This window comes from Homo sapiens, chromosome 11 (assembly GCF_000001405.40).
Source record: "Homo sapiens chromosome 11, GRCh38.p14 Primary Assembly".
Classification (NCBI taxonomy): domain Eukaryota; kingdom Metazoa; phylum Chordata; class Mammalia; order Primates; family Hominidae; genus Homo; species Homo sapiens.
In genome coordinates, this window is record NC_000011.10 from 78,227,924 (window position 1) to 78,239,956 (window position 12,033).

Genomic DNA, 12,033 nt, shown 5'->3' on the forward strand with positions numbered 1-12,033 from the left:
ACCTAGAAATCTATATGAAGAATGGTTTCCTGTTTGGGAACTATATATAGAAAAAGTTTTGATTAGTACATTTTTAAATTTAGGTTTTGGGCAATAAGGCAAGCAGTAAAAAGAGAAGAGAAACAAGAGGGGAGACTTGTGTTAGGTTCCAGTACTGCTACTGATACGTGCTGTGTGTATCACCAAGCCTCCTCTCTCAGGTGGGACCTAGTACGTCACAATGATTTCTAAGGGCCCATCTGGCCCCGATGCTCTACAAGCCCTTCGTTTCACAAGAGTGGTTTTCAAACTAGATTCCAGGTTCTCTGTAAGTGCTTTGGGAAATTGGAGGGTGAGGTTCTGAGCAAGCAGGGATTTAGGTCTGCTTCTTTAGCTTGTGTATGATTCTTCATAGGATTTCACTTGGGGAAAAAAAGAATCAATCCTTTGTAGCAGGGATTCTAAGCCTTTTGGAGGCTATAGGAGTTTTTAAGATTCTGGTCAAAAGCTCTTGGAGTGTCTCATCAGAAAAGGCAAATCTCGTATACATATAAACTTGTTGGGGCTGTAATACATAATAGCCCTCTGAGGCCAATCCCTGGACCTTTTGCCTTATAGAAGCTCTCTCAGCTCCTGAGGAGTTTGTTATTTACAGATGTGGCCACCAGATGGTGTTAGAAAATAGGGGCCAGAGCTTAGAAAGAGGAAACAGGTGTGTAAAGCCAGGCTTCCTCTCATGTAAACTGTACCCACCATGATGGCTAGGAATTCCAGGTCAGTCTCCAAACCTTCACTGATGCTCCTCCTTGGGCCTCTGCACTCCTCCTCCCTTTCTGTTCCATTCCAGACACATAACCAAGCCAACAGCCATGGGCTTGGATGATTGAACATCTAGGCTTTAGATAATGTAGTGCTTAGGGAAGAGGACGGGGGTGGCGGGGGGAGCGAATGGTAGACATAAGGTGTTAATGTTGTATGCATTTTTTTGGTGCCTTTCATTTTGCTTTTTTTGGAATTTCCAACTCTCTGTTGGATGCTCCCATCTGGATTTGTTCATTTTACATTTACTGATGTCCTAATTTCCATCTGGGCCAGGCAAAAGGGATACAGAGATGCCACCTGCCCAGTGAGGGGTGGTCTGGGAATGTCACAGTAGGGCAGGAGATGACATGGATGCAAATCATTACAGTCAAGTAGGGGTGAGTATGTAGCTGCTGACAGTTGGTATCAGCCCTTGCTGGGGGTGGTGGTAGACAATGTCAGGGAAGCCTCCTTCAGAGATGTTTTATCTTGAGTGAGTCTGGAAGGATGAGCCACAACTGGCCAGGCAGAAGGCAGGAGAAGGGAAATGGTGTTCTAGTTGAAGGCTCAAAGATGTAGAACACAACCTGGCAAGTTCTAGAAACTCGAAGCTGCTCAGGCTGCAGCAAGCACATTAGAAGGCAGGGCTGAGAGAAGACACTGGAGGCCAGGCCAGGACTAAAGGGAACGGGGAGCCTCTGAAGGATTTCAAGGTGGGGATGGGGTTGCAAGAGCATCACAGGCACCCTGCAATAACCTTCAACATACTCAAGAATGAACTCATCATCTTCCTCTGGAACTCTTCTCCTCCTGCCTCTCTTATTTTGGGAATGGCAACAGTTACTCAAGCCAGAAACCTGGGAGTCACCCACATTATGATTTCTGCCCAGGGCCTCTCTGATCCTTCCATCCTACTAATATTTACTTTCCTAACTTCCCAGTGTAAACATTTTCAACACCGCCTCAATGCTTCAGGATTAAGCCCAAACTCCTAGGTTTATCCCAACTCATCTCACCAATCTTTTCTCTTTAGTTCCCTTTTCCACTCTAGGATCCAAACCAAACTTTGCAGTGTTCCCTGTGTGCCCCAGTTAGTCAAGCATTGGGCTTTGCTGCATTGTTGGGCTGTGTCTGGAAGGCTTCTTACCTCAATCTGGCAAGTTCCTACTCCATTTATCCTTCAAACTCATCTCAGAAGACACATTTTTTAAGGCCATTCTTACATCCTCTACCTCTAAGCATTGCTTAACTTAATCACTTGCTTAACTTTGTTCTTGGAGCAGGTAGCAAGTGTTACCTATATTAGGCACCATTACTACTTATCTCTGCCAACAGACTGTGATTTCCTTGAGGAAAGAAACTGTGTCTTACTCATTTTTCTCTCCTTAGCACCTAGGTTAATGCTTGTTGCATTATAAATAATGAATAAACGTTTGTTGTAAGTAAGCAAATGAATAAACAAACGTATGTTGCTGCTATCCCTTTTCCTGGGCTTGGCCCAAACCTTCTGATCAGCAGATCAAAGCCCTTCCTCTGTAGAACCCACTAGCTTACGTTCCAACTTCCCTCTACCCCGGCATCCTCCTGTCTCGCTCACAGAACTACTCACTCATCCCTAAACATGTCCTGTGTAGTCTAAACTTCAGCCCTGGTCTTGCATTACTCACCTCCCTGTGGAACGCTTCCTTGATACATCAACACCTTACACAAAGTCCACAAGAAGCCTTTTCACTCTACAAAGGTATTACAGGTCCCTAATTCTCCTTTTTATGGTAATCATTCCTTCCTCTGTGCTACCACAGCACTCTGTGCTTCCATCGCAACACTCACCTTATTCTGCCTTATGTCAGTTATTCAGGTCTGTGTCTTTCCACTTCTACCAGACCATGTGCTCCTAGAAGGCAGAGGGCCATATCCTGTACCCTGGCATAGTGCCAGGCATATGATAGATAATAGTGACACATGTTGAGGGAGACTGATTATCACCTCAGTAACCAAGTAAGAGGAGTTGAACAAGGGACTCTTGCCCAAAGTTACATACTCAGAGGGCAGGGAATTTGTTCTAGCAGCCAGGTCTCTGGGTGCCCCCACTGCGCAAACCATGCTAAAATGTGGTCCCTTTGGGCAATAATCTAGATGGGGAATTCCAAATACTCAGCAGTCTTATGGCCTTTAGTATTTTCATGTAAACCTTAACTGAGGCCTGTGTCACTGTGATGACCTGAGTTGCTTTTGTGGGATGGATAATCCACCTGGAAGTGGTGGATTTGGAGAGAGGCTTCTCTTCCAGGGCTGGGCTTACAGAAGCCTTATAAAATAGGCAAGATACTATGCCATACATATCACATGTGATCTCATTTTAAATCCTCCTAATAGTTCTGAGACACACCTCTTACTTTCACATTATCAGATGAGGAAAACAGTAAATGGCAGAGTTGGAGCAGGAAGATACTCAAACACAAGCACGTATGGGAGCTCCCCAGAATCAAAAAGAAGTTTGAGAGAAGATATTCCCTCAAGCCAGCAGTGCCAAGTGCCTTCCCTTTCCATTCCTGGCCAATGGCTCTTCCAGAGGCTATAGAGGCTATTGCCACCATACAGTCTCTCCCTTGGTGCGCGCGCGCGCGTGTGTGGTGTGTGTGTGTGTGTGTGTGTGTGTGTGTGTGTCGGAGTCTCATTCTGTCTCCCAGGCTGGAGTGCAGTGATGCAATCTTGGCTCACTGCAACCTCCGCCTCCTGGGTTCAAAGCGATTCTCCTGCCTCAGCACCCTGAGTAGCTGTGATTACAGGAGCGTACCACTGCACCTGGCTAATTTTTGTATATTTAGTAGAGACGGGGTTTCATCATATCGGCCATGCTGGTCTCGAACTCCTGACCTCGTGGTCTGCCCGCCTCAGCCTCCCAAAGTGCTGGGATTACAGGCGTGAGCCACTGTGCCCGGCCTTCCCTTGGCTTTTAAAAATGGTTTTCTAGTTTTTCTAGCCACTTCATTTTGTACTTGTTCTTCCACACATTTTCATATAATTTTATATACCATACTATATGATGATTTTGCTTTTTTCTATCCCACTGGACTCCAAGAACCCTAATGATGAAGGACTCACTTTGATTTTCAATGAGTATGTTCCCATTTAAGGGTGACTTAATATAAAATGCTTGTAAGTAGATTAAACACCATTTAGAGTTCTGTAACTGTCACTGGCCATGTTTAAGAGGTCATTTGAACTATCCTCTTGCATTTGACCCATTCCAAATGGATCCTTCCTGTGAAAGAAGAAAACTCTGTGTCACAAATCTTTATGAGATGAGGCAATCTTTGTATCTCAAACCCTTCTGGCTGCAGTTCTGAGCCAATTTTGGCAGGACTCTGGTTACAGAGCAAAGCTGTATATGTGAAACTAAAAGTTGTATATTTTGCCTTTGGTCAGTCAATCAAAGCCTCTGGTGAATGAGTCAGGGAAGACTTAGAAAAGATTAATGATGGGTAAGCTCTCCACTGACATTTCTAATTTTACCATTTACCCACCATCTTTCTATAGACTACTGCTGCAGGGTCAGTGATTCTGGAATCTCACCAATGAAATTTCACTCCTAGTAACCCTCACCAGAATTATGGCTTTTCAGGGCATGTGACTCACATCAATGTATCATCTGTTACAGGTTTAACAGCCTTCTTGAAATAAGAAGACAGACACTGGCTAGAATCTGGAATGAGGCCCCAAAGGCTGGAGGACAAAAATAAGTCCAGTGAAACCAACTTGTCTTCAAAGAGAAAAAGAACTCTATTTGTCTTGACTCTGCCAGTTCAAAACTCTTTCCGTTGGCAATAGATATTATTCTGAATAGTTACTTATTTTAGCTCAGTGGAAGACCTGCATTTTGAGAAATGAAGTTATTTTAGCAAGAATACATATTATCTAGTACTTGAAGGAAGACTAGTGGCTATTATTGCAGTAAAAGTGATGATAAATACATAATTCACAGTTTTATTTCTAAGGTGCTTAATTTACTGTATCTTTACAATCAGGTTCCCACATAAATGAAAAAAGAGATAGATAGAAGGCTGGTATTAGTAGCCTCAGTAATCCAATCAGACACAGTTATGTCTAGTCTATGCGAGGCAGGATGAATGGGCTGATTCACTTTATACCCCCTACTCAAAAATAATCTTACAGGATTACTTTGGAGATCATATGAGGTACCTAATGTAAAAGTGCTTTGTAAACTTTAAAGCATCATTTCTTTCTTCCAGAGCACCTAGTATATAATGTGAATGTTAGAGGAAACACAGGATTAAAGTCTATTCATATACTTACCAATACCTGGCACTGTTAAGTTTTTTTTTTTTTTTTGGTGACAAGGTCTGGCTCTATTGCCCAGGCTGGAATGCAGTGACGTGATCTCAGCTCACTGCAACCTCCGCCTCCTGGGCTCAAGCCATCCTCCCACCTCAGTCTTCTGAGTAGCTGGGGCTACAGGCATGTGCCACCATGCCTGGCTAATTGTTTTTGGTAGAGATGGGGTGTCGCCATGTTGCCCGGGCTGGTCTCAAACTTGTGAGCTGAAGCAATCCGCCTGTCTTGGTCTCCCAAAGTGCTGGGATTATAGGCATGAGCCACTGCGTCTGGCCTGTTAGCCATTTTTATTTTAGCCCTTCCAGCAGAGGTAAAGCAGAATCTCACTGAGATTTTAATTTGCATTTCCCAGATCACTGATCATCTATTCATGTGGTTACTGGACATTCCTATATCTTTTTTTGTTGAAGAATCTATTCACATTTTTTGCCCATTAAAAAAATATTGGATTGCTCTCTTCTTACTGAGTTGTAGAAGTTCTTTATATGGACCACAAACAAATCCTTTGTTAGATATGCGCGTTGAATATTTTCTCGCATTTTGTGATTTGTCTTTTTTTTTGAGATGGAGTCTTGCTCACTCTGTCGCCCAAGCTAGAGTGCAGTGGTGCCATCTTGGCTCACTGCAACCTCCACCTCCTGGGTTCAAGCGATTCTCCAGCCTCAGCCTCGCCAGTAGCTGGCACTATAGATGAGCACATCCACGCCTGTCTAATTTTTGTATTTTTAGCAGAGGTTTAGCATGGGGCTTCACCATATTGGCCAGGCTGGTCTCGAACTCCTGGCCTCAAGTTATCTGCCTGCTGCCTCCCAAAGTGCTGAGATTACAGGCGTGGGCCACCACGCCCAGCCCATTTTCTTTTCTTAAAGAGGCCTCTTGAAGAACTAGTTTTAATTTTGATAAAGACTACTTCACCAAAAACTACAGTTTTTTCTCTTTTATGATTCTTGCTTTTTCTGTCCTATATAAAAATCTTTGCTTACCTCAAGATCATGGAGATGTTTTCTTCTAGAAGTTTCTTTTCTTTTCTTTTTATTTAAATACAGGGTCTTATTCTGTCGCCCAGGCTGGAGTGCAATGGAATGATCTTGGCTCACTGCAGTCTTGACCTCCCCCAGGCTCAAGTGATCCTCCCACCACAGCCTGCTGAGTAGCTGGGAATGCAAGCACATGTGACCGTGCCTGGCTACTTTTTGTATTTTCTGTAGAGACTGGGTTTTGCCATGTTATCCAGGCTGGTTTTCAACTCCTGAGCTCAAGCAATCTGCCCTTCTTAGTCTTCCAAAGTGCTGGGATTACAGGCGTGAACTACTGCGCCCAGCCTAGAAGTTTCGTAGTATTAGATTTTACATTTATGTCTCTGATACATTTTAATTTTTGGGTGAGTGGTGTGATATGAAGGGTTGCTGTTCTTTTTTTATTATTCCTATATGAATGTCAAGCTGTTTCAGCATCATTTGCAGAACAGGTTTTTCCTTTCTCCATTGGCATCTATATATTTATATACTTTTAATAATTATATATATTTATATATTTAAACTATTTTTATTTATATATGCATTTAAAATATTTATATACATATATGTATTTATATATATTTCTCTCCTGGACTTGCTAATTCTTCTAGTGATCTACAGGTTTTTGTCCTTTCACCAATACAACATTATCTTGATTACCATAGTTTGACAGGAATTCTTGAAATCAAGTAATATAAATCCTGACTTTATTGTTGTTCTTTTAAAAATTTCTTTGGTTGCTTGGCCAACATGGTGAAACCCCACCTCTACTAAAAATACAAAAATTAGCCAAGCATGGTGGCACGCGCCTGTAATCCCAGCTACTCAGGAGGCTGAGGCAGGAGAATTGCTTGAACCCAGGAGGCGAAGGTTGCAATGAGCTGAGATCATGCCACTGCATTCCAGCCCGGGAGACAGAGCGACAGACTTTCTCCTCCCGGGCCACCGGGAGGGGCTGCCATGAAGGTCTCTGATGTGGCCTGGAGACATTTTCCCCATGGTCTTGGAGATTAACATTAGGCTCCTTGCTACTTATGCAAATTTCTACAGCCGGTTTGATTTTCTCCCCAGAAAATGGGTTTTTCTTTTCTTTTTGAGACAGAGTCTCACTCTGTCGCCCAGGCTGGAGTGCAGTGGCACGATCTCGGCTCACTGCAAGCTCCGCCTCCCGGGTTCACGCCATTCTCCTGCCTCAGTCTCCCGAGTAGCTGGGACTAAAGGCGCCCGTCACCATGCCGGGCTAATTTTTTGTATTTTGAGTAGAGATGGGGTTTCACCGTGTTAGCCAGGATGGTCTCGATCTCCTGACCTTGAGATCCGCCCACCTCAGCCTCCCAAAGTGCTTGGATTACAGGCTTGAGCCACTGCGCCCGGCTGGGTGTTTCTTTTCTATCACATCGTCAGGTGGCAAATTTTCCGAACATTTATGCTCTGCTTTCCCTTATAAAATTGAATGCCTTTAACGATACCCAAGTCACCTCTTGAATGCTTTGCTGCTTAGAAATTTCTTCCGCCAGATACCCTAAATCATCTCTCTCAAGTTCAAAGTTCCACAAATCTCTAGGGCAGGGGCAAAATGCCACCAGTCTCTGCTAAAACAACAAGAGTCACCTTTGCTCCAGTTGCCAACAAGTTCCTCATCTCCATCTGAGACCACCTTAGCCTGGACCTTATTGTCCATATCGCTATCAGGCTTTTGGTCACAGCCATTCCACAAGTCTCTAGGAAGTTCCAGACTTTCCCACATTTTCCTGTCTTCTTCTGAGCCCTCCAAACTGTTCCAACCTCTGCCTGTTACCCAGTTCCAAAGTCGCTTCCACATTTTTGGTATCTTTTCAGCAACGCCCCACTCTACTGGTACCAATTAACTGTATTAGTCCATTTTCATGCTGCTGATAAAGACATACCCGAGACTGGGATTTTTATTTGGATTGTGTTGAATCTACAGAACAATTTGAGAAAAACTGCCATCTAAATAATAATAGGTCTTCTAGTTCATAACTACTGTACATCACTCTCCATATTTAGGTCTTTAATTTCTACCAGCAACATTTGATAGTTTTCAGTGAAGAGGTGTTGCATGTTTGTTGTTAAATTTATTCCCAAGTATTCCACGTTTTCTGGTACCATTCGATATATAATTAAAATTTTTTCATTTTCCAATTGTTCACTGCATACTGTAAAACTTATTTTTTGCATAAAAACCTTTTTATCTTGTGACCTTGCTAAACTCACTTAAAAATTTTTTTGTTGTTAAAATACACAGGGTTTCGCCATGTTGCTCAGGCTGGTCTCGAACTCTTGAGCTCCAGGTATCCACCTGCCTCAGCATCCTAAAGTGCTGGGATTACAGGCATGAACCACCACACCAGGACTCTTATTTATTTTTCTTCCTCCATGGAACTGATGAGAATCTCCAGTACAATGTTAAATAGAAGTGGTAAGAACAGGTACTTTCTCCTTGTTTTCAATCTTAGGGCATTATGTTCAATATTTCTCCATTAGGTATGATCTTAGCTATAGGGTTCCTTAGAAGTCCTTTATCAGTTTAAAGAAGTTCTCCTCAATTCATAGTTTGCTAAGAAATACTTTTTTTTCAATGAAGTACTGAGTTGTCAAATGCTTCCTCTGCATCTATTGAGGTTATGATTATATTATTTTTCTCCTTCATTCTCTTAATGTAATGAATTACTTTGATTGTTTTTTTTTTGAAGTCAAACCAACCTTACACTCCTGGGATAAACACTACTTTGTCATGATGTCTTACCCCTAATGTATACACACATGCATATTCCCTAAAATATATATATTGTCCCAAACAGACACATATAGATATACACACATACGTATTTAGTTGGATTCGACTGCTAATCCTTTGTTTTTAAAGAGGATTTCTGTTTATTATTCATGGGGGATATTCTCTGTAATTTTATTTCCTGTCATCTTTGCCAGATTTTGATAGTAGGGTTATGCTGGTCTCATAAAATGAGCTGTGAAAGAATCCCCTCCTCCTATGTTTTCTGAAAGACTGTGGGTAAGATTGGTGTTATCTTTGAATGCTTGGTAGAATTTACCAGTAAAACCATCTGGGCATAGTTTTCTAGGTATTTGTCCAAGAGAAATAAAAACAAATGTTTCTACAAAGATTTGCTCATTACTGTTTAAGTACAAATGGGTCTTAATGTGTAACAGCCAAAACTGGAAACAATCTAAATGCTTATCATCATGTGAATGGAAAAGTGAATTGTGATATAAAGATACACTGTACTACTGAGGAATAAAAAGGAACAAACTAATGACACATGGAAAAACATGGATGAATCCCAAAAGCATTATGCAGAATGAAAGAAGTCAGGAAAACTAGTACTTACAATATGATTCCATCTATGTAAATTTATGGAAAATGCAAATCAATCTGTAGTGGCAGAAAGGCTGTTACTGGTTCTCTAGGAATGAGGTAAGGGAAGGATGGATTACAAGGGGGCATGAGGAAATGTTATATAAATGCCACTGACTGTACTTCAATTTCTTCCTAAAAACTTGTGGGGAAAAAAAAGGGTGGGGAAATGTAGAAATGAAAAATCAGTTTAAAAAATCATCTTAACTGAGCAGAGAGAAAAGGATTGGAAAAAAAAGATAATGTAAGTGATTGTTGGGTCAGTATCAAGTGGTCTAGTGTATAAGTAACTGAAGTCTCAGAAGGAATGCCCATCAGTGATAGACTGGATCAAGAAAATGTGGTACCTATATACCATGGAATACTATGCAGCCATAAAAAGGAAAGAGATCATGTCCTTTGCAGGGACATGGATGGAGCTGGAAGCTGTTATCCTCAGCAAACTAATGCAGGAACAGAAAACCAAGCACTACATGTTCTCACTTATAAGTGGGAGCTGAACAATGAGAACACATGGACACCTGGGGGTGGGTGTATAATACACATTGTGACCTGTTAGGTGGGCAGAGGGAGGGAGAACATCGAGAAGAATAGCTAATGCATGTTGGGCTTAATATCTAGGTGATGGGTTGATCTGTGCAGTAAACTACCATGGCACATGTTTACCTATGTAACAAACCTGCACATCCTTCACATGCACCCTGCAACTTAAAATAAAAGTTGAGGGAAGAAACAAAAAAAAAAAAAAAAAAAAGAAAATGTGGCAGAAAAAGATTTGAAGAGGCCAGGTGTGGTGGCTCATTCCAGCACTTTGGGAAGCTAATGTGGGAGGATTGCTCGAGACAACATAGCGAGACCATATCTCTACAAAAAATTAATCAAGTATGGTGGCATATGCCTGTAGTCTCAGCTACTTGGGAGGCTGAGGGCAGGAGGATCTTGAGCCCAGGAGTTTGAGGCTGCAGTGAGCTATGTACTCCAGCCTAGGTGCCAGACTGAGACCCTGTCTCTTAAAAAAAAAAAAAAGTCGAAGAAATATTGGTAGAAAGTTTGCTAAACTAGATTAAAAAAAAAAAAGCAACACATAGAACTGGAAAACTAAGTCAACCCACAAGAACAAAGTTCTTGGACCTTTACCTTAAAACAGATAAAAAAACTAACTCAAAATGGATCAAAGACCTAAATGTAAGAGCTACAACTATAAACCTCTTAGAAGAAAACATAGAAGAAAAGCTTCATAACATTGGATTTGACAGTGATTTCCTGAATATGACACCAAAAGCACAGGCAACAAAAGTAAAAATGCAGAAATTGAACATCAGAATTAAAATATCTGTGTTTCAAAGAACATATCAGCAGAGTAAAAAACCAATCTATGGGAGAAACATTTGCAAGTCATGTATCTGCTAAGGGTTTAATATAGGTAAACTCCAACAGCTCAACAACAACAACAAAAATCAAACAACCTGACTGAAAAATGGACAAAAGACTTGAAATAGATATTTCTCCAAAGAAGATATACAAATGGCCAACGCACGCATGAAAAGTTGCTCAACACCACTAATCATTAGGGAAATACAAATCAAAAGCACAATGAGATACCACATTGCACCCATTTCTATTAAGAAAAAAAAAAAAGGAAGTAATGCTAGCAAAATGGCCAAGAAGAAACCCCTACTGCTTGTCCCCCTCACAAAGACAGGCAGAACAATGAATAAACAACTACATTTTAAATTTTAATTTAATTTAATTTTATGTATTTTTTTGAGATAGAGTCTTGCTCTGTTGCCCAGGCTGGAGTACAATGGCGTGATCTAAGTTCACTGCAACCTCCACCTCCTGGGTTCAAGCGATTCTCCTGCCTCAGCCTCCCGAGTAGCTGGGATTACAGGCGCATGTCACCACACCCTGCTAATTTTTGTATTTTTAGTAGAGACAGGGTTTTACCATGTTGGTCAGGCTGGTCTTGAACTCCTGACCTCGTGATCCACCTGCCTCGGCCTCCCAAATTACTGGGATTACAGGCGTGAGCCACCACACCTGGCCTCCTGAACAATTACATTTTAGCAAAAATAACGGAGGGAGAGTCCCAGAATGCATGAGAGGAGTAACAGAAACTCGATGAACCAGAAACTTGGGATGGTCACACAGAGAACAGAAGGAAACACACTAGGCCTTCACCACTCCATGCAAGATCAGTTTGGAACAAGGACGAAGTTCTTTTGGTGAGAAGGTAGGCAAGAGGATCATGGCAACTGCCATCAACACCTTGGACATCTCAGGCCTCACCACTGGAGTCCCCTGAAGTCCTCATAGGCACTAAGCCCAGTGAAGGAAGTTGCCTAGGGTCCACATAGCTGTGTTCCGTGTGGCTACTGTGCTATGCCATCTTGGAATTGGAACTATGGCTGGAGTGTGTCTTGCTCCAGAGGTGAGTAGCCATGGCTCCCTTTCATTCCTGAGGCTAAGCTGTGGCTGAGCCAT

General features: G+C 42.0%; 2 protein-coding genes across 6 annotated transcripts in view; one reads left to right on the forward strand and one right to left on the reverse strand.

Moving 5' to 3' along the window:
* The window catches only part of USP35 (ubiquitin specific peptidase 35), a 48,301-nt gene extending 39,005 nt beyond the window's left edge, over positions 1-9,296 (forward strand). Inside the window, exon 12 of the mRNA XM_047427335.1 lies at positions 4,442-9,296. The gene's annotated coding sequence lies outside the window, so the exon portion shown is untranslated. The remainder of the gene's footprint in view (positions 1-4,441) is intronic.
* GAB2 (GRB2 associated binding protein 2) overlaps positions 1-12,033 on the reverse strand; it is a 202,528-nt gene that overhangs the window by 12,631 nt on the left and 177,864 nt on the right. The window lies entirely within an intron of this gene.